Source organism: Homo sapiens, chromosome 13, assembly GCF_000001405.40.
Source record: "Homo sapiens chromosome 13, GRCh38.p14 Primary Assembly".
NCBI classification, from domain to species: Eukaryota; Metazoa; Chordata; class Mammalia; order Primates; family Hominidae; genus Homo; species Homo sapiens.
This window is the reverse complement of record NC_000013.11, coordinates 107634295-107658555: the sequence shown is the minus strand read 5'-3', so window position 1 is coordinate 107658555 and position 24261 is coordinate 107634295. Positions and strand designations below refer to the sequence as shown.

The 24261-nt window shown below is 35.6% G+C and overlaps 1 protein-coding gene across 1 annotated transcript in view, besides 1 other annotated feature; it reads left to right on the top strand.

Annotated features, from left to right (window-relative positions):
- The window catches only part of NALF1 (NALCN channel auxiliary factor 1), a 703987-nt gene that overhangs the window by 208941 nt on the left and 470785 nt on the right, over nucleotides 1-24261 (top strand). The gene's annotated exons all lie outside the window — the stretch shown is intronic.
- Nucleotides 1877-2046: an enhancer, noted in NCBI's record as "experimental_31780 CRE fragment used in MPRA reporter constructs". NCBI's record gives its function as "activates a minimal promoter by MPRAs in K562 erythroleukemia cells, with activity observed for both the introgressed and non-introgressed 13:108308943 variant alleles {active_cell/tissue: K562}" and the evidence as "EXISTENCE:reporter gene assay evidence [ECO:0000049][PMID:34662402]".

Sequence of the window (24261 nt, the reverse complement as noted above, 5' to 3'; positions counted from 1 at the left end):
AAAAAGGGACCAGTCTAAACCAGACCAATTCATTTGGCTTAGAGGTAAAGCACAAATTCATTATTCAACCTGAAGTACAGTTTGAGGTACAGAGTGTTGATAATTGATACGAAATGACCTGAGAATTGTAGATATTATTAAGGAAGGTGATAAGAGCCATAAGCATTAAAAAGCAGGGACGGAGATGAAGAATATGAAAAAGAGATCCAGAGGCATGGAAAGTAGACAGATGAGGCTCTTCCATAAGCAAATGAATGTTGCAAGAGAGAGGAGAGAATAATTGGCAGAAGGAAAAAATTAAAGATAGATAAGAATTTTGAAGACTAAGTAAGATAAATCCACCAATCTTCCTACTTAGGAGGCTCACCAATCTCAACAAAAGGAAATAAAAAAAGAAATTCACACCCAGAGACATCCTAAAACTGCAAAACAATAAAGAGTCAAGTCTTACAAGTAGCTGATAAGAAGACCACTGTCAGACCAACAATCGGCATTTTAAAGGGTCCCTGGGAACCAGGAGACAAAGTGCCTCCAAAAATAACTAATGTCTCGAACATGTACACCCAGGAAAATTTTGGTTCAAAAAGGAGGGCAAGATAAAAATCTTTTTTAGTTCAACAAAAACAGAGTTTACCACCAAAGCTCCTCACTAAAGTAAAGGAATTCTAAATCATGACATTCATGCAGGTCTAAAGTGTCAGACGGAACCGTGCACCAGGAAAATGTAAATGGGTGAGCAATCTCAACAAAGTAATGCCTGGCGTTGACATTTCAGTTGTTAGCATATGATCAGTTTTATGCATATACCTCGAAATAACAAAAATCAGTAGCCCTTCTTAGATGGAATTAGGAGTGGGCAACAGGTTTTTGTGTAAGAGCACATGTCTCCTGAGTATTCAGAGTAGTCACTGTTCAGCCATATCAAGGCAGTATCCCCACAAAGACTGGTAAATACTTCCTACCCACAGCGTTAAAGTCATACTCAATACATGTGATCCTCTCCCCAAAACTTCCACTGTAAACTTTCTTTTCTCTTTATGATTATTGATCAGGCTGTTTGTTCCCCAAATCCACACATGTATGAATGCATCCACACACACAGAAAGACACACACCCGTGCAAACATATGCACAAATACTTAGAATACCAGCAAGAAAATAGTTGAACAGGTTACTTTCTAAATAGCTGCTATTTGATGATGGCATACCTGGTTAGGGGGAAATAAGTAATTAGCTTAGTTTTAAGAAATATTTGTAGTACCTGTATAATTTCACTCTCTCTCTCTCTATATACACACAGAAGTAAACTGGATACATGGGTCTGGGGCTCAGGAAAAAGTTTGAAACTGAAAATGTAACTTAAATTTTTGTTTAATTTTTTTTTTATTTCAATAGGTTTTTGGCGAACAGGTATTGTTTGGTTGCATGAATAAGTTCTTTAGCTGTGATTTCTGAGATTTTGGTGCACCCATCACCTGAGCAGTGTACATTGTACCCAATGTGTAGTCTTTTAGCCCTCACCACCCTCAACCCTTCCCCCAACCCCACACCCCCACACAGTCCTCAAAGTCCAATGTATCATTCTTATGCCTTTGTGTTCTCATAGCTTAGCTCCCACATATGAGTGAGAAAATACAATGTTTGGTTTTCCATTCCTGAGTTACTTCACTTAGAATAGTAGTCTCCGATTCCATCTAGGTTGCTACGAATGCCATTATTTTGTTCCTTTTTATGGCTGAGTAGTATTCCATGGTGTGTATAACATTTTCTTTATCCACTCATTGATTGATAGACATTTGGGCTGGTCCTATATTTTTGCAATTGCAAATTGTGCTGCTATAAACATGCTTGTGCAAGTATCTTTTTCATATAATGACTTCTTTTCCTCTAGGTAGATACCCAGTAGTGGGATTGCTGGATCAAAAGGTAGATCTACTTTTAGTTCTTTAAGGAATCCCCCTATTGTTTTCCATAGTGGCTGTACCAGTTTACATTCCCACCAGCATTGTAAAAATGTTCCTTTTTACTGCATCCATGCCAACATCTATTATTTTTTGATTTTTTTGATTATGGCCATTCTTGCAGAAGTGAGGTGGTATCGCATTGTGGTTTCGATTTGCATTTCCCTGATCTTTAGTGATGTTGAGCATTTTTCCATATGTTTGTTGATGATTTGTATATGTTTTTTGGGGAATTGTCTATTCATGTTCTTAGCTCACTTTTTGATGGGATTGTTTGTGGTTTTCTTGCTGATTATTTTGAGTTCTTTGTAGATTCTGGATATTAGTTCTTTGTCAGATGTATAGATTGTGAAGATTTTTTCCCACTCTGTGGTCCTGTTAACTCTGCTGATTATTTCTTTTTCTGTGTAGAAGCTTTTTAGTTTTGTTAAGTCCCATCTATTTATCTTTTTTTTTTTTGCATTTGCCTTTAGATTGTTGGTCATGAAGCCTTTGCCTAAGTCAATGTCTAGAAGGGATTTTCCAAAGTTACCTTCTAGAATCTTTATGATTTCAGGTCTTAGATTTAAGTCTTTGATCCGTCTTGAGTTGATCTTTGTATAAGGTGAGAGATGAGGATCCAGTTTTATTATTTTACATGTGGCTAGCCAATTATCCGAGGACCATTTGTTGAATAGGGTGTCCTTTCCCCACTTTATGTTTTTGTTTGCTTTGTGGAAGATTGGTTGGCTATAAGTATTTGGCTTTATTTCTGGGTTCTCTATTCTGTTCCATTAGTATATGTGACTATTTTTATAACAGTACCATGCTGTTTTGGTGACTATGGCCTTATAGTATAGTTTGAAATCAGGTAATGTGATGCCTCCACAATTTTTTTTTTCTTAGTCTTGCTTTGGTTATGTAGGCTGTTTTTCTGGTTCCATGTGAATTTTAGGATTATTTTTTCTAGTTCTGTGAAGAATCATCATGGTATTTTGATGGGAATTGCTTTGAATTTGTAGATTTCTTTTGGCAGTATGGTCATTTTCACAATATTAATTTCTAGCCATCCATGAGCATGGGATGTGTTTCCATTTGTTTGTGTTGTCTATGATTTCTTTCAGCAGTGTTTTGTAGTTTTCCTTGTAGAGGTCTTTTACGTCCTTGGTTAGGTATATTCCTAAGTACTTTATTTTATTTTTTGCAGCTATTTGGAAAGGGGTTGAATTCTTGATTTTGGTTCTCAATTTGGTCACTGTTGGTGATTAACAGTGTTACTGATTTGTGTACATTAATTTTGTATCCTGAAACTTTGCTGAATCTGAATTCATTTACCAGTTCTAGGAGCTTTTTGGATGAGTCTTTAGGGTTTTCTAGGTACACAATGATATTATCAGCAAAGAGCGACAGTTTGACTTCCTCTTTACCGATTTGCATCCCCTTTATTTTTATCTCTTGTCTGATTGCTCTGGCTAGGACTTCCAGTACTATGCTGAGTAGAAGTGGTGAAAGTAGGCATCCTTGTCTTGTTCCAGTTCTTAGGGGGAGTGATTTCAACTTTTCCCCATTCAGTATAATGTTGGCTGTGGGTTTGTCGTAGATGACTCTTATTACCTTAAGGTATGTCCCTTCTATACCGATTTGGCTGAGGGTTTTAATCATTAAGGGATGCTGGATTTTGTCAAATGCTTTTTCTACGTCTGTTGAGATGATCATGTGATTTTTGTTTTTAATTCCATTTAGGTGGTGTATCACATTTATTGACTTAGGTGTGTTAAACCATTCCTGCAGCCCTGGTATGAAACCTACTTGATCTTGGTAGATTACCTTTTTGATATGCAGTTGAACTCATTTTGCTAGTATTTTATTGAGGATTTTTACATCTATGTTTTTCAGGGATATTAGTCTGTAGTTTTCTTTTTTTTTTGTTATGTCCTTCCCTGGTTTTGGTATTAGGGTGATACTGGCTTCATAGAATGATTTAGGGAGGATTCCCTGTTTCTCTGCCTTTGGGAATAGTGTCAATAGGATTAGTACAAACTCTTTGAATGTCTGATAGAACTCAGCTGTGAATCCACCTGGCCCTGGGCTTTGTTTTGTTGACCAATTTTTTTTATTACCATTTCGATTTCACTGCTTGTTATTGATCTGTTCAGAGATTCTATATATTCCTGGCTTAATCTAGGAGGGTTGTACATTTCTGGGAATTTATCCGTCTCCTCTAGGTTTTCTACTGTGCAAAAGTTATCGCAGTTTTCGCCATTAAAAGTAATGGCATTGCTAAGCGCCTACTTTTGCCATTAAAAGTAATGCAAAAACTACAGTTACTTTTTCACTAATCTAATAGCTTATGCACATAAAGGTGTTTACAGTAGCCTTGAATAATCTTGTATTTCTGTGGTGTCAGTTATAATATCTTCCATTTCATTTCTAATTTAGCTTATTTGGATCTTCTCTCTTTTTTTCTTGGATAATCTCACTAATGGTCTGTCAATTTTATTTATCTTTCTAAAGAACCAGCTTTTTGTGTCATTTATCTTTTATATATTTTTGTTTCAATTCCATTTAGTTCTGCTCTGATCTTCATTATTTCCTTCCTTCTGATGGATTTGGGTTTTGATTTATTAGTCACTAATTTTTTGAAACAAAATAACTTGGAAAATCAAATAATTGCTTGAGTTTTTTCTTTAATGCTGTTTTCTGAGTTGCAAATGAAAGAAGATATTTTTGAGGACTTTGTTGTTGTATTTTTCCTTACCTTTGTTAGATAGGAGTTTACTTGCTTAAACTTTTTATTTTTATTTACCATTTCTTTCTGTTATTGTGTGTGTGGTGTGAGATGGGGAGCCCTATGAGAGTCAAGTAATTTTGACCTCAAAAATAGCTCTGGAGTTGTTTCTAATTGGGCAGCTGAGGTGGTCTTTTGGGATCTAGAGTCATGAAGGTCATCTCTCATAGATTCCTGTTCTTTTTGTGCACCGTGGTAGAAGTAGAGAGAATATATTCTATTCAGGGATGGCCTATCTATATGAAGAGGTCAAATGCATTGAAATGAAAAACAAAAAACTAGAGCTAGTGACATTGCTGACAGATGCCAACATTTCTCCACACTATTTTATAATAAAAAAAAAAATACCTCTCTGCTAAGAACAGCAGAGGCTTGATTATATTTATTGGTGTTAGATGACTAGGGACTAAAATAAATGATTCCTCAGTGTAAAAGTAGGCAGATAATTCTATTACCTAATTTTCTCTTTCAACAGTCAGGAAACTTTCAGTGAATTTGGTCCCTGTAGGGTAACTCCCAATTTCCTTCTCCCCCTACGATAAAACAAACAGAATATGAGAGAATTCGTTTGTTATTGGACTAACATGAAAATACACAACTTAATATACAAATTTAATGTGTTTAATCTAATTTAATGTGGTAAAATAAAGCATAGATTGTTTTTCCTTCGAATGTCATGTTCTTACAAATACTTAAAAATGTTCATTTTTGTTCATGGTAGTCTAAAACTAAAAGCAACACATAAAGATACCAGGAGTGTTTTACCATCTTTTCTGCCATTGTTTATGAATGAAGTGTCCTTCAACCCCCGTGTATCTTTGTTGAAACATTTTTGGCAGAAGTTATGAAAAATAAATAATAGCAACTTAGAACATAGAAGAGACTGTGGATAAATTCAGATTCCAGCAATTTGAGGCACCAAATGGCACAATGCTTCTAATCATTGATGTTTCCATATTGTGAAAAGAGATAATCTAAAAGTAATTCCAAGGAGAAAGGCCTTTACTGATAACATAAGGATGATTAGTTTGTTGGCACAGGGGCAGGCAGAATAAAATGGAAGTAAAATCTCACTCCTGGAATGTTGCAGTTGAAACAGCCCATGCCTATATCCGAACAATGCCTAATGAGTTAGATGATGAAATTTGGGAGTTCTGAGCTGACGAGTCTTAGGATTTTGAGTTCATGCTGTAATGGTTTGAGATTTGGGGGATATTAGGATGGGATTGGATTCATTTTACATGTGGGATGGGCACCATCCTTTGGGGCTAGGGAGGCTGACTTCTGTGTGCAAAATAATGCCACTCAAAGATGTCCAATCATGAATTTCCAAAAGTTGTAAATATGTTGAATTTCATAGGAGAAGGGACTTTGGCTATGTATTGTGTATATGTTAAAGAAAGCTTAAAATTTAAAACAATATTATATTTAGTTATCTTCAACTTTGAAGAACCATAACTATTTCTCTAATAATAACATTTAAATATGTTAAAAGTCATTAAGCACATAATGACCTTTTAAACAATCTTAATAACAAAGGCCAGAATGACAAATAGAGCAGTGTAATTGCACACAACTCAGAATCACAGAAATTTAAATGGGACAGAGTTAAATCCTTAGGTAATCCAATCTCCCCATTGCATTGATTAAACTGTGGACCAAAAGCTTAAGTGAATTGTCCAAAGTCCCAGTCCAAGTAACAGAAGAGTACTCCGTCTTTTTTTAGTGCTAAAGCTAGAAATTGAAGTCAGTTCTGCATCATAAGTATTTTCTTCAGCAAAGCATAATAAAGTTATTTATAGAGTTAAACATGTTTATATCTATAAAGATTTTTTAAGTCTTCTAGTTTATGATCTCACATTCATTAAAATGGAAAACTTTCAAGTTTAAAATTAGCTTTGATATATTCGCAAAGAGCAGTCTCTAGAGTCCTGGTTGAAGAACTGAACATCAGAGAGTAAGATGCCTCCTTACTTCTTTCCATCCTTCCCTCTATTCTGATGTCTTATTTTAATTAGACTAGATCTCAATACTTGAACTGTAGTAATCCTCAAGTGTATATTGCAAACAGTTTTGTGGAATGGTTCCTTAGGAACCTCACATAACAAGCTGAGTTCAGAGACAGCGGGAAGTCCTGGAAGGTGAAGGTGTGGGTGGGACATCAGTTTTATTTGCTGAGAAGAGTTAAGTAAGCTGAAATGTCTGCTCCATTTCAAAACTAATTAATACTCCATCCTGTGGAACAGGCTAGTTTTAAAATATTCATTTAATACATGTATCAGTAGAGGTTTTCATTATTGCAACAGCATTATGATCTTAATACTTTCAAACATAGTTTTGCTTATTTCAGAGAACTCCCAACCCTCACAAAAAGAGGCAACTCAAGTCTCTAGGACATCAAAATACTGATGAAAATCTCAGATATTTATTCAAATAAGGTAACAAAAAATTGAGTTTTGTGGCCTGACATTTCGACGTTGTGTAATTAGAAAAGCACAGAGTTTTAAAGCATCCCTGGCATGACCTATGGTCATTGCTTCCTGACTATTGCTCCGTGCAAGTAAAGAATACAGAACAGAAACAGCCCGGGACTAAATGTCAAAGGCCAGAGGTTATGTACCATGTGGCTCTCAGCAAGGTCTTACTCTCTCTCCACATATGAAGCAGGCACAGTAACTCATTTTCCTTTTATCTCATCATTAAACAAATCAAATAAAGCAATGAATTTATAATTCTTTATTTTTTTAACCTTTGTTTAAGGTTTGAGGGTGCATGTGCAGGTTTGTTACATAGGTAAACACATGTCACAGGGGTTTGTTGTACAGATTATTTTATCACCCAGGTACTAAGCCCAGTATCTAGTAGTTATCTTTTCTGCTCCTCTCCCTCCTCCCACCCTCCCCCGTCAAGTAGACGCCAGTGTCTCTTATTTCCTTCTCTGTGTTCATAAGCTGTTATCATTTAGCCCCCACTTACAAGTGAGGCATGATATATTTGGTTTTCTGTTCCTGTGTTAGTTTGCTAAGGATGAAATAGTCTCCAGCTCCATTCATATTCTGGCAAAAGACATGATCTCTTTCTTTATTTTTTATTTTTATTTTTTCATAAGTTATTGGGGTACAGGTAGCATTTGGTTACACGAGTAAGTTCTTTAGTAGTAATTTGTGAGATTTTGGTGTACCCATCACCCGGGCAGTATACACCACACCATATTTGCAGTTTTTTTCCCTTTCCCCTCTCTTCTTCTCCCCAAGTCACCAAAGCCCATTGTATCATTCTTATGCCTTTGTGTCCTCCTAACTTAGCTCCCACCTATCAGTGAGAACATACGATGTTTGGTTTTCCCTTCCCGAGTTACTTCACTTAGAATAATAGTCTCCAGTCTCATCCAGGTCACTGCAAATGCTGTTAATTTGTTCCTTTTTTTTTTTTTTAATGGTTGCAGAGATTACCGTTCAAATGGCAACGTTGGCCAAGAACATCTGATTTTGCTAGAGGAGACTCGAAGTCGCAGCCACTAGGTGGCGCAGCCTCATCGCTCGCCCCCTTCAGGCCAGGTCCGGGTGGCCAGGGGTACCCTGGTTCTGTCAGGTGACCTTCCTAGACAGGCACTATCGACTTGGGGGGCATCTGTAATGACTTTACCTTATCAGATAAATCGAAACTATATCATTAATGACAGTGTAGGATATGCCACCAGGGACAAAAACTCCGATCTTTGACTTAACAGGCAACTTTTAAAATACTCATTTTGAAAATGGGAGAATCAGCAGGGCAAATTTAATCTGCTTAAAATCCAGAGTGCCTTTTCAAGTATTTTTTAAAATCTGTAGTTCTTTAAGTTCTATAATTTATTGGCCAAAGTAACTTACAAGTATTGATAACAGTCCATGTAGCATTATCATTTTGGATGGCAAGCTGACGGGTAGGGGCCAGGGCCTAACCTGTATTTGAATCACGATGCTTAGTTAGGGTCACCTTTTTTGGTATAGACTGCAGGACACAGCACACCACAAAATATAGTTTCCTAAAAGACAGAAAGTCTCTTATATACAAAGTTGAATACCCTGTACTATCTCAGTTATATTGTAGCTTTCCTTTTAATTATCATTCAAGGTGGCCATGACATTTAAAAAATAATTTTCCAGGATACACTGTTTTTATTTTCTGTGACTGTTCAACTTACCACTTACTTGAAAACCTTTATTTGCACATAAAGAGGATTGAATAAAGGTAAGTATATGTAGCATTCACTAAATATGCCTCTCATGAAAGGTAATTTATATGAAATAATTAACTCTACAACCCAGGACTTAATTGTACATGTGTGGCAAAGAAAATATCTGATTCAATCATTTTAAACAAAATAAAATATAACTGGAGAAAACACAACTGCATAGCCAGTACATCTTAAAAAAAGATTATATAAATTTTATCACATAGCATTGAAAACCAAACAGAATACAGCTCTTGCTGAATTCCATATTCATATGCTTCTTGATGTTTTAATCTACAGAGGTATGACTCAAGATGTAAAAATCTGTGTATGAGAATCTGCATATCTGCATAAACAGTGAAGATTGACAGTTCCCACATGGTGGGATGAAAAGGAAAGTAACAAAGTTAGTTAATAGTATAACTGGTGGTATACTATTTATTTAACATTTAAAAACTGTGCTGTTAAGAGAATGAAGAAATAAAACATAGGTTGGGGGAAATATTTACAAAACATATGTCTGATAAGGGACTTTTATCCAAAATGTAAAAAGAGCTCTTAAAACTCAACAACAAAGACAAACAGTACAAATTTAAAAATGGGCAAAAGGTCTGAAAAGACTCCTCACCAAAGAAAATATTAAGATGACAAATAAGCAGATGAAAAGATACTCAACATTGCATGTTGTAGGGAAACATAAATTAAAACGATAATGAGATACCACCACACACCTATTAGTATGCCTAAGATTGGAAACAATGACAACAGCAAATGCTGGCAAGGATGTGAATAAACAGGGACTCTTATTCACTGCTAGGGAGAATGCAAAATGGTTCAGCTATTTTGAAATATGATTTGAGAGTTTCATACACAACTAAACATTTTTACCATATTAACTAGCAATCAGTCTTCTTGGTATGTTCTCAAATAAATTAAAAATTTATACTCACACAAAAACCTGCATGTGGGTGTTATAGCAGGCTTATTTATATTTGCTAAAACTTGGAAGCAACCAAGATGTCCTACAATAGGTGAATGAATAAACAAACTTTTGTATATCTATACAATGGAATATTATTTAGGGCTCAAAAGAAATGAGTTATCAAGCTGCGAAAAGACACAGATAAACATTAAATGCATATGGCTAAGTGAAAGAAGCCAATCTGAAATGGCTATGTACTGCATGATTACAACTACCTGACTTTCTGGAAAAGGCAGCAGTATAGAGAGTAAACAAATCAGTGGTTATCGTGGATTTGGAGGGAGAAGAGGGATTGACAGGTGGAGCACAAAGGATGTTTATGACAGTGAAATTATTCTGTATGATACTGTAATGGTGGACCCATGACGATGGGCATTTGTCAAAACCCATAGAACTGCACAATGCAAAGAGTGAACCCTAATGTGAATGAGGGAATTCAGTTAATCATAATCTGTCAATATTGATTCATCGGTTGTAACAAATGTAGTGAGATGACAACAAGGGAGATGTGTATGGGGGGTGACATATGGGACTGTCTGTATACTCTGCCCAATTTTTCTGTATACTGAAATCTGTAAAATGTAACTCATTGATTAAAAAACAATACTACTTGTTTTTATCATTTGTAGCTTTTTGTAATACACATAATTTTGAAACAAATTACTCTTTTCTATAATCTTCAGGTAAAAATTAGGGTAGCTTTTTAAAATTTGTTAAGCTCAGTTTTAAAAAATAAATGCCTAGGTAGATCAGTTTTGAAATAACATATATTCCCCCATTTCAAATATGTGAAGAAGCTCAATGGCTTAAAATTTGGAAAATGTAATATTTAACTCAGTTGTTTGCATTATGTAATGTTTACTATACACCCATAATATAAATATTCCTTAATTATATTTAAAGTAATTCCTTTTTACATTTTTCTCCTCTATTTATTTATGACAAATTGAACTCAGATATTAGTAACTTGTTCAGGCCATACAAGTTGTCACCGGAGGACATTACTAATTCTAAAGTACATACCTTTTTTAATACAAAAGTTTATTAATTTTAAGCAGCATCTTATGTTATTAAGGTTTCATGGGATTGTTATGTTTGCAATTCTGCCTTTGTAGAAACAATCTATATGTCCATCAGTAGGGGAAGGTTTAAGTTTTTTTTTTTTTTCGATAAAACATAGTACACCATGCAAGAATTTAAAAGGAATGAACTGGAGCTGCAAGTGTCAACATGATGAGGTTCTTTTTTGATTTAGTAGAATATTTTTAGTGAAAATGCATCTTGTCTGTATGGTAAAAAAGGACAAAATTTTGAAAACTAACTCTTTACTGAGGGCATAGAGTGAGGGAAGAGACAGGATTTATTCATGTTCTTGTATTTTTCCAGGGAACATCCTCATCTTATGCTTCCTTTGCATTTAATTCCATTTTCGTTTTGTTTTCTTTACCAACATTTTGGTGATTGCTCATATTATTATATATAAATTACCTCAATCTGCACAGTGATTCACTGATTACATATAATATCATGTATTTAACCAGTCTCTTTAGGATATTTCCAAACTTTTGATTTATAAATAAAGCTACAATAAGCATTCTAGTATGTAAGTCTTTACCCAATGAGTGGTAATATCTGTAAATTCATATTAGTAGACTTGCTTGGTCAACAGGTGAGTGCATTTTAATTTTTGATGTGATGTCAAATCTTTACTAAAATATTATGTAAATACAAATCATTGTCCTTTAGAAAATAAAAAAGAATCACCATATGAATTTCTTTCCTAATGAGAACACTCTGATTTAAACTAATGAATTCATATATTCATAAATTAACCTCATAAATTTTACTGACAAGCTCTTAAAGATAGCTGTCAATGTAAAAAGATTTATATTATACCTATGCCATGATTAAATACAGCTAAATTCAGGAGTCTCATCAAATTGATTGATGTAGAGTGTTACTTATTTTATATTAGAAATCAAACACATTATTATACAGATTACATTAATAGAGAAAAAATTCATGTGAAAATATTTTACTCAGTAATTAAGAATAAGGAAATAATCTAGGTCCTCTAATCAACAATGCGTTGAGTCACTGGTCGTTTTACCTGTGAGAATATAGGATAAGAAGGAAAAACAATAGAAAAGAAGGGATCAGCATCTCTTCAGGCAGTTTATTTTAAGGCAGTGGCTTCTCAATTTTAGAAAAGACGAAAATCCCATCAGATGACATTTTATTTCACTGCATCATTTGGAAGATACTACTGTTATTATGTTAGGATGTGAATGTGAAAGGTTTTTACCTGTCTACACCATTTTGTTGCTTTTTTTTTTTTTTAAGAAGTTGGCAGTTTTCCAGGGAGTGTATGTGAAAGAGTACAGGATAGGAAGTGTTAATGTTCTTCATCTGAAAGGTAAAATTACTATTTTAGTTATAAAGGAATAGCTTGTTGACCAGCGTTCCCACTGAGAACATCTAGAAACGTTAGATGCAATTTTAAAAGATGTGTAAAACTCTCAGTGCTGACTGGTCAGTGCTAGAAGGGCTGTTACCAAGAGCAGGGAAGCCCGTTTTTGTGAGGCAAGTTTGCTGCATCCTGTTTTCCCCATAGTGTGATTTGCTGATTGCTGATGCAGGGTAAGAAACCAAGAACTCCCAGAACTCAGGTTGAGAGTGGCTACCAAGAGTCAGAACGAGCATCTGAACTTACTGCAACCTCTTGGAGTTTGGGAGCAAAAACCTGGAATTGAATTTTGCTATGATACTCGGGAATGAGAAATTAAAATCCCAGAGAGGAGAAAAGCACAAGGAAATAAAGTCAATACATGGTGCCGGTTTTGCCTTCAGTTATTTGCTGATTAAGCTGCTCAGGGCAGAAGTCTAAGAAACCAGGCACAGAACAGCTGGAGAGTAAAACAGGGATTTTTTTTTTTTTTTTTTTTTTTTTGTCTCCCAGTATTTGCATGGTGGTAGAGACAGAGAAATTTGAGTTCATAACTTGCAGAGGAGAATTTGTAGAAAACTACCCAGGCTCTCTGTTGTCAAAACAGGACAAGAAAAGAGATAAAAATTGTATTAAGTGGATAGGATAAACAGGTTGTAAATACTAATATAGCATACCTAAACCCAAAACAATTGGGTGAGTTAAACTGATTAAAATCAGTAAAACATATAAATAGTAACAGCATTCCATTTGGCAATTAGTACCAAATTGGATAAAATCTTCACAGATTCTGGGGATGAAAAGGTGAACATCTTTGAAGGTGGGGACATTATTCTGGCTACCAGGGTCATCAAAAACATGCACACTGAAAAACACTTTGATACTTCTATATCCTTCAGATTGGTTAAAATGAAAAGGACAATACTAAGTGTTGGTGAGGATGTGGAGCAACTGTAACTGCTTGTGGTGTTGTCAGCAATCACTTTGAAGAACAGTTTGGCAGTGCCTATTAAAGCCAAATATATACATCCTTAAGACTCAGCAACTTGACTCCTAGGTACATTAATGAAAATGCTCACATGTATTTATAGCAGCATTATTTATAATAGTCTAAAACTGGAAACTCTAAATGCTCATCAGTGGTGGCAATACCAAATAAATTGTAGTACATTTATACAATAAGATAAAGCAAAGCAATTGGATGACCTCTTAATACACAAAATAGCAAGAAGATAGACACAGTAGAAAATAAAATATATGATTCTGTGTGTATAAAGATCAAAAGACAGCCAAAACACATCTACGGCAGTGATTATTTTTGCTGTACAGCAGTATGAGGCAAGGATCATCACTGATCTGGGTGGTGGTTCCAGAGGTGTGTTCACTTTTCTTTCTGTACGGTTAAAGAGTTACTTTAAACATTAACACTTAAAAATATGTTTAAGACCATGTTTTAGACCTATGAACAGTTTCCTTATACTACTGGAGCATGCTATGATTTGCAACTTAAGTGAAAGCATATATATATATATATATATGTATGTATGTATGTATGTATACACACACACACTCTAAATGTCTTTTTTAAAGGTATTTTTTTCTGTCCTGTGATGCTAAAATTAACTAGAAGAATGCATTAAGTAGCCAAGTGGAGAGTGGTTGAGTAGAAAATGCACATGATTTAAAGTTAATTAGATATGGGTTCAAGTTCAGTCTTTGCCATTTATTGGCTACTTAGCACTGGATAGATTTTTTTTTTTTTTAACCTGAGTTTCCGTGTCTGTAAACAGGGGAAATAATATTAAACCTGGTTGCTATTGTGAAAATGGGAAGTAATAGACGTATGTTTCTGAGTATGTAGTAGTGTTTCCTGTGTCAACAGAAGCTATCACACAACTGTGTAAACCTTATGTCAACAGAAGCTATCACACAACTGTGTAAACCTATCATTAAAAATTCACCTTGGCGTTCTGTATTTTATTCTGTATTAAAATGTTACATGTATTTTTAAAGAGATATTCTTGAGATGAGTATTTCTGAAGACGTAAATTTTATGGTATTAGGTTTATAAATTATCCTCATCCATATATAGACTTGTGATTTTTCTACTTAAAAATAAATATCTGTCAAAAATAAGTCATGTAAATAAATTACACATTTGTAATTCTTCAGAAATTTGCATGTGCTCAAATAAAAAATTTTGGCAAAAAAAAAAAAAAAAATCATCTGAAACTCAGTGGCAGGAGGAGTTTCAGTCTCCTGACTCTCAACTTCTCTCTCTCAATGGAAAATCTAGCTGATGGGCAGACCAAGCTCTGACCCACCTGGATCTCCCTTGAGGCTGCACAGGAAGTGAATTATCAGAAGGGGATGCACAAAGGGATTTAGTTTGAGTCAAATGATTTTTGGCATTAGGCATGGTACTACTTCCTCTGTGGTTCAGCAAACCTTCTCCACTTTCAAAATTGAAAATGTATTTTTTCTCATCATAAAAAGTAACATGTAAAGACTCGAAAACTAAAAAACCATTAAGAAAATAAAATTGCTTATTTTTCTAATAATCCTCCCCCTTTATTTGTTCCCTTTGATCCAAATAAAACGATTTCATATTTTAAATTGTCATTTCGTTTCACCCCCCCCCCACCAAATACACTGTATATGGAAATTATACTGTATTTACATTTCTATGTCCTGAGTTTTTCTTATCTCTATTTGGAAGCCCTTCCTGTAACTTACACATCTTTGAAACCATAATTATAAATAACTGTGTCATATTCCAGTTTTGAATGGGAAGAGTTTATTAAACTATGGTTGCTAGCCCTCCTCGCTGACACATTCTTCTTTGGTTATACTAATACCTTAAGTCTATTATTTCTTATCTCTAATTTCATTCAGTTAGCCACCTCATCAATGGAAATAATCATTTTAGCAAAAGCATTTGTGTTTGTAACTTAAGTATAACATCACTGTGTTCTTGAGTACAATCATCACCAGGCCATAAACATCTTCTTGGGAATTAAGTGAAGACCATAACCCATGGCGGACTCTGTCTGGATGGGTGAATGCATTTCCCAGTGTGCTTTGGCTGGGTGCCCCTAACGGAGAATGAACTGCGAAACCTGATGACATACGCCTGCTCTTCAGCCAACAGTCAGCTGTGTGGGATGCTGTCTTATTCCATGATATGTGCCATCTGCCTGCATGTGCTGTGACCCTCATCCATGTGGAAATTAGGGCAAGGCAGAAACTCCAATGCGATGCTTCTGCATCAGCTCCTTTTCCTGAAACAGCCAATTTAAGAGCAGAACACAATAGCCAGCTCTTTAAGTGAAGTTAAAAGGGGTTCTGGCATGAGCACATACAACATAAGGAGAATGATTAAGGCATTTGTTCACGATAAACAATGTGCTATAGCTATGTTAAGTGTTAGGCACTGACTGTATGCTCAACTCTCTTTCCTTTCCCCATTATCATCTAACGTGGGTCTTTGTGATCTTTTTACCTATGTATGTATCCCTCTGTGATGTGCTGGTGTCTGTCCTTCCACAAAAACTACACATTTCTGAAATAGATAAATAGAAATTTGACTAAGATGAATCCTAGTGATATTTTCAGGAGCTATATGTTGACATAGCTAAATATCAAGAATTGATTGTTGTGAATAAACAAAATAGACCATTTCAGCTCAGCAACATGCAATGTATGCAATGATTAACATCTTATATGCTGGGCATATGATGTCTATTTTTTTATTCATTGGAAACCAAAATTCTATAATGCCTTATATAGTGCCAGATGCATGGCATTGACTTAAACGTTTGTTGGATGCATGGATAAATGCTGACTTCAATTCAGATATATTCTTATTGTGTGGGCATAGCCAATATTTTAGCTCAGTTAACTGAATAATAGAGAAATAAATAAGTGAAACTCTGCCTTCACTTTTAGTGAAAATGTAATTCCATGAATTATGGCAACTACTTCCTCCTACCTTTCATAGTTGTTGGAAGCAGAGCGTCTCAGCTTTTACTGTGCATAAAAATTGCCTGGGGATTGTATTAAGATACAGATTCTAATCCAGTGGGTCGGGGAGATGCTGCCTTTCCAACGTGCTCCCAGGCCAGTTGATGCTGCTGGTCTGAGGACCTTACCTGGTCTCAGCACTGGGTTTGTCATTCTTCACTGCACATTGCAGTCACCTGGAAAGCTATATATAGAAGCTACCGATGCCAAATCTCATCCCTGAGATATCTGGATTTAATGGGTGTGGTATGAGATTTGGGTTTGGGGTTTGCTGAAGTTTTCCAGGGGGTTGTAATATACAGAAACGCTTGAGAAGTACCATGTGGTGTTGAAACCTGGTTCATAAATCCCCCTAGATTCTTGATCTCGCTTGCTCCTGCTGAGTTGGCCCCCAGCCACGGTTCAGGTTGTGAGGCCTGATACAAGATCTGCCATCCAGGAACCTGTCAAATTGAGACTTAGAGACTCCGACTATTCAATTCAAGGCCTTACAATAGTAATATCTTGCCTATGGTGGTAACTAAGCCATCATTTTTGCCCATTGTTGCTATTATTGATGTTACTATTATTTTTATCTCCAAATCTCTATTTGTTTTTTCCAACTAAAATTATGACTCATGTTTATTTTTTTAAATGAATGTATAATAGTGGCACAAGTGATATTTTGATAAATGCATACAATGTGTAATTATTAAATAATGATAGTGGACTTATCCATCACCTCAATTATCTTTTTTTGGGTTGGGAACATTCAAATTCTTAACCTTTAGCTATTTTGAAATAAGCAACAAATTATTGCAAACTGTTGTCTCTCTACTGTGCTGTTGAATACTAGAACTTACTCCTTGTATCGAATGGTATTTTCATACCCATTAACGATTTGTCTTCATCCTCCTCCATCTGACCCTTCCTAGCCTCTGGGAGCCACCACTCTATCCTCTTCCTCCATGAGATCTACTTTTTTAGCTTCCACATATGAGTGGGAACATGAGATTTTTATCTTTGTGTTCTTAAAATAGTTCACTTAACATAATCACCTCCAGTTGCATCCATGTTGCTGTAAATAAGATGATTTCATTTATTTATAACCAAGTAGATATTTCATTGTGTGTCAATACCATATTTTAGTTATCCATTTATCCATTGATGGACATAGGTTGATTTCATATTTTGGCTATTGGGAGTGCAGACATCTCTGACATACTGATTTCCTTTATTTTGTGTGTATACCAAGCAGTGAGACTGCTGGATGCCGACTTTTTAAAGATAAGTTGTATGCCTTGTAATCTTTTATATCTTGCCATAGGGCCTCATACTGGTCTCAAGATCTAAGAGAAACACAATGAATGTTGCTATCTTCTCTCTTTGGGGTCTTTTATTATTATTGTTCCTAGGTCTCACACAGAGTGATATAACACAAATACCAAATATATTTCTTGGATTATTATTATTCTTAGAAAAAATACTCATGCAAATGAAATCTTGAGATAAAAGTAATCTTATAAAATTATTTATGCAAATATTGTCCCCTGGCTGATATATTTCCATGGAGTGATGGATGAAAGTCATCTCTGAAGAACACTTGGTCTATAGATTGTTTCATATTTATTAATCCCAAATCTTATATAGTAAAACTGATGTGAAATTAAAGGTTATGAGAATGCTGCTGAGAAAGTTGGCTAAAATAGTTTGGATGCCATTTTACTGTATCTTAAAAATGTTATGTTAAAATAAAATAAAACCAAATAAGCTTATAAATTTAGGAACGTTTTATTTTAAATTCTAAAATTCCCTGCCTTGACTTTATAGTGCTAACAAATTTGCTCTACAGCATAAACAGGCATGTTCTCATCAGTTTAGCTGTACACTGTGTTATATAGGGCAGGTTATAATTTTTATTTTGTTCCTCTGACTAATGCCGTAGTACTTAGTGGTTGAGACATAGAATTTGTTTATAACCTTTAACACTGTGTAAAGTTGTTTTCTTCTTTTTTTTGGCAGAAGTTTCTTTTAATTATAATTTTAAATGATTTCCTTTTCACTCACCAAAGCAATGCTGTAAAAACAAGAAGGCAAGTTAAATAATAAATATTTTAAAACAGTCAATGATTCCAATCCTTTTGAATATAAGATTTGCCCTTATCTTATCAAGCATTTGCCTGGATGATGTTTGATTATAAAGACGAATTCAAAACAGCTGTAATATAAGATGTGTTAAATAATTCTCAAATATTTGTATATTCAAGAAATAATAGGTGCCAACTACCTTTCTCAGGTATTAGGAATACCAGCATGAGTAGAGCACAATATCACTCATAATAACACTTTGTAGATTGTTACAGAAATAAGAATAAAAGAATGCAATGAGCACAGCAAGGACCTGAGCTGGACATGACCCTCTTTACTTGAGGTTTCAGGCATGGCATCATGCCTGAGTTGAGACTTGCTCTTTGTCAGTGTTTGTTTAGTGCTAGTGATTCCAGGATTTATACACCCCAAACCTGTGTCCTGAAGAAGCCTGGGGTCTGAGAAGGAGAGCATACATTCCTAAACACACAGTGGTATGGGGCTATGCACAGGCTGCAATCAGGGCACAGGGCGTGGAGTGGAACAGCTAGTACAGACAGGGTAGTTAGGGAAGTGTTTTAGATAAAAATTCAAAGCACAAATTTAGCTGACTTTTTTAAAGTGTAAGTTGGAGGTAAAGTGCAAGGACACTCCAGGATGAGTAAATACTATGAGCAAATGCGTGCATGGCATGGAGTGTCTACAGAACTATCGTGTTTTTTTTGGCTGGGTCATCGGGGAGAAAGGAAGGTGAGTTTGTTGAGAGATGCGTTTGAAAAAGTTGGCAGGGATCAGATCACTGCAGGGTCTTGTATTTCAGGCTGCAGCTTGCAGGCCATATACTATGAAAGAGCAGAGGGGAATGGCATTAGACTTTGCCTTGCAAGTCAGTTGAGCTGCCATGGAGGATGGATTAGAAGGATTCCATTTGACTTCCAACAAAATAAATACCTTATATTAAGTAAATTATCTCTTCATAGGAGCAGCTTTTTTTCATTATTTCTCTCAGGAGAACAATTTGCTTTTATTGAGGATGTACTGTAATCCATCAGCTGTTGTAATAATAATCAATCAGCAATTCTTTATTGAGCTCCTGTTGATGAAAAGCATTTACATGTTATGTGCATATAGGGAAGCCAGACGTCAGCCATCAGTGTCTCTGATTCTTCCATCTTTGCGAGATCTGGCCCCACTTACATCTGTGAAGTCACCACTCATCACCTTCCTGTAGCCCACTGTTCTCCAGCCTCACTAGCCTTCTGGAGTGCTTCAGTCGAATGGATCTCGATCCCATCCCACAGCCCTTGCCTAGCCCAGTTCCTCTGCCCAGAGAGCTTTTCTCCAAAATCTTCAGATAGCTGTCTTCTGAATGATTCAGGTACCAGCTCTTCAGAGAGGTCTTCCTGACTCTACTGTAGAAACTTTCTCAGCTACTCTCTTGCCTCATTGCTGTTTGTACTGTTATTAGTTTTTCCTTCAAAGCTTGCATCACTCTCTGAAACTGTCTTATTCAGCAATAAGCTCACTTTGTGATTGTCCCTTATCCTCTTCTCCCTCTGTCCTATCCCAAGTTATGAGACTCCTTCAAGCAGGGACATCCTCTGCCTCATTCGCTGCTATCCTCCAGCACCTTGAGTGGTGTCCAGCATATAGTCAGCATGCAATAAATACTTGTTGAATGAATGAATGAATGAATGAATCATACTTTCCTTACCTAGGTTACTCAGTGGGAGTTCTCCACTCCCATAAACAAACAGGTCTAGTAATATGTTTTGCTAAACAAAAAAATAATCTACTCCTGGAAATAAATGATACCACTTTCATGGAAGGTAGAAGCAGTCTGCCAATGTTCATCTTAAATAATATCTCCCAATGTTCATCTTAAATTATATATATATATATATATAAATCTTTATATAGATAGGGATATATACTCCAAGTGCTTTCATATATAGGTTCATTGCTATGTTTGATTTCCATAAACACTCTAGCAGGAACAGATGATGTCGTTTTTAGATGTCACTTATGAGGAAAGTTGAACTCAGGAAGATGACTTACGGTCATTAAGGCACTGTATGGTACAGAGTTGTTAAAACCAAATCTGTTGAGTTTTCATCTTTGCACTCACCATGGTGACGTTTCTAAGGCTAATTTGACTCTCTAAGTCAAGAATCACAAGCTAAAATGCCAGTGAACATTAGACAAGTAAGGAAAATGGATGAGGTAGACAGAGAATGGGATGGTCCTTTGGATCCCATGTAACATGTGTAGGTTTATAAGACTTCTAGATCATTACTCAGTTTCTTCTCAAAAACTTGCATTTTAGCATCCCACATGCGACTCTTTATTGGATTATTTGTGGCTGGTTCAGCCCTCCCATTTGCATACTTTTGGTTCCAACATGGGTTGGAAGATAAAATGATCTGCAGAAAGAGGGGCTTCAGTCGAATGCACAGGCTGCACTGGACACACTAGCACGTGGCAGTCAGGTACAGTACTTTTTGGCAAAAAGGATAATGAATCTGCCACAGCAGTGTTCGTTGACTGAGAGCTTAATTGTTCACTAAAGGAAGAAAATAAGATTTTAAAGCCTGTTTACACAGGGATCTTCAGGTAGCAGCATTTTAGGGGGGTTAGAATATAACACAGAGAAGGCTTTTCTTTTTGGAAGGAAGTACCTTGAAATAGTAGTAGATTTATGTTGTGGTTTGGTTATGGTTTGAGTTGTAAGTATAGGAGAAATATAATAAAAATTCCCCAAATAGAATAATTACATCATGAATAAAATTCCCCAACAACTTAACAAATAAAGTTTTCCTTAATAAATTATATATATATATACACACACACACAACAAATACAATATACAGTTATGCATTGCTTAACAACAAAGATATGTTCTGAGAAATACATCCTTAGCTGATTTTGTCATGCCAGCATCATAGAGTGTGTTTAAGCAAAATGAGGTGTTATAATCTATGATACACCTAGGCTATATGGTATAGCCTAATGCTCCTAGGCTGCAAATCTGTATAGCATCTTACTGTACTGATACCGTAGGCAGTTGCAACACAGTGATAATATTTACATGATAGGAATTTTTCTGCTACATTATAATCTTATGGGACCACTGTTCTTAATGTGGCTCATTATTGACTAAAATGTCTTCATGTGGATCATGACTATAATATAATATAATATAATATATATAATATAGATTAGCATAGTCTCATAAGAAGACAACAAAATTAAATCAATGGATCAGGTTTACCTCATATATTATGTACTTTTAAGTGCGAGAAAAGGTGAAATTTAAATACTGGGCAGTATTAAGAAAAATAGAAAATAACTTTGCTGTACTGGAAAAAAGTATAGAGGCTACCAAGTATATTATAAAATTAAGACTGATTTAAATAATACTATAATTTTGTACTTTAAAGTCTATTTCCCTTTACCATACAAAATTGTACAAGAAGAGTTAAAAAGTAAGAAGCATCTGTTGCTTCAAAAAGCAATCAGAAAGCTGAACAAATGGACTATGATATAGAAGAAGCTAGAATTAGAAATAGTGAAAAGGGTTTATCTTTTAGCATTTTTTCCTTGAAAATAAATGGTTAAATGTTAGTCTTCTTGATCAGTGTCTAGATGGGGCACCCACAAATCAATCTTTTAAAACCATACAATGAAGAAATGTTCCATATTGTGAGTTCTATAGTATTGGTACCAGACAATTCCAAACGATTTGTGTTTGTTTTAAAGCTTTCAATGAATGGATGCTCGAGCAAACTCAGCTATATTTTATTTCAGTTTATATCTTGTTTGGCGGCTTTGGTTTTGATCAAGTTATTCTGGGTAATGGATTCAATAATTCGGCCGTGTGATGTAGTGACAGCTTCTGCTTCTTCGCTGTGCAGGAGGGATGTGATTCACCTGCTTCATGCTTCTTTTGGTGCAGATTCCAAGTGCACTGATGAGGGCAGGCTGGTGCAAAAGTAATCATGGTTTTTGCCATTACTTCTAGTGGCAAAAGCCGCAATTACTTTTGCACCAACCTAATAGGTAGCTTCCCCTATTTATTTTCCCTTCCATAAAATACTTTTCTCACTTCTGTAAAATGCTTTTCTTTACAGCTCACTTATGTGATTTTTCTTACTAAACATCCCCCAATTTTATTGAGGTTTAGGATTTAATAACTGAATAAGCTATAGAAGACCAAATTATACTTGCAAATTTGGGATAGGCTTCTATTCCCTATTCAAGCCAATCAATTAACTGTGCAACTAGTAGGTTGTGCTTTGATAGGAACTATTGCTAATAACTGCAACTAACGTTAAGTAACAGTCATGTGCGGCTTATGGGGCTAAGTGTCGTCCATGCATGGCTATGTTTGATTTTTCAAACAAAGCTACAGGTTCATTACAATTATTATCATTCCCATTTTATGGATGGAGGAATTGAAGTTTAGAAAGGCTAAGAGAATTGTCCAAGGATAATCAGCTAGTAAATAGTGGCTTGCATACAGAGAACACATTAGAAACTTATGCTAGCCTTAAAGGGTAAATGATACGGTTTTGCTGTGTCCCCACCAAAATCTCATCCTGAATTGTAGTTCCCATAATCCCTGCATGTCATGAGAGGGGCCCAGTGGGAGGTGGTTACCCCTATGTTGCTGTTCTCATGATAGTGAGTTTTCAAGAGATCTGATTTTTTTTAAGGAGTGTTTCCCCCTTTGCTTGGCACTTCTCTCTCCTGCCATCATGTGAAGAAGGACATGTTTGCTGCCCCTTCTGCCATGACTGTAAGTTTCCTGAGGCCTCCCGAGCCATGAGGAACTGTGAGTAAATTAAACCCCTTTCCTTTATAAATTACCCAGTCTCAGGTATGTCTTCATAGCAGTATGAGGATGAACTAATATAGTAAATATCAATACCTAAAGGAATTTGAGTTTGCAGGTGTGTGAAAGTCAAAAGCCCACCAGTTTATAGAGGGAACACCAATTGTGAAGATACTCACATATTCGTATTTGGCCAAAACATATTAATTATTGCTTGTGTGTACTAATGCTTGTGATGTAGATTAATAGGAAGTAGAAAAGGTAATTTACAAATATACCTGTCACCCTTCAGCTTGTTTGTGTAACTATAATCTTATACTCCTACTTGTGGGACTTATTCCTAGCACTTTCCTAAAACAGTTCTACTTAAAGTTGACTGTAATTCCCTCATTATATCCAGTTCCCATTGTAGACCATTTGCTCTCTGTAGAGTGCTATAGCATGTGACATCAACACTGCATTTTTCCCTTTAGGTCTGTCTGTCTTCCTTCTTGATGAGAGAATTGCTGACTTTTCTTGATTCTCCCAACATTTTTCACCACAGCAGTTCTGCCTCTGCTCCTTCTTAAGCCTTCTCTCCCTGAAATGTGGAAAAAACCCACTACCTTTCCATCTGTTTTCATATCATTTCCCATTTGTGTTCCTCCTTTTGTCTGGTTTTCTGAATCCTTTGCACATTAGCTGAAGTCCCACTTCCTAAGTATTTTATGTTACTCCAAGATCTTTTCCCCTTCTCCTAAGCTTCTGTTGCAAATACTACATTTTGGAAAAAAATTATTTTCTGACATGTTCATATACATTAATTTTTTAAAAAATTCATGCTTACATTTGCCTTTTATTTTTTAATAAATTGATGGAGTACAAGTGCAATTTTGTTACATGCATAGCTTGTGTAGTGGTGAAATATGGGCTTTAGGGTATCCATCACCAGTGTAACATACATTGTACCCATTAAGTAATTTCTCA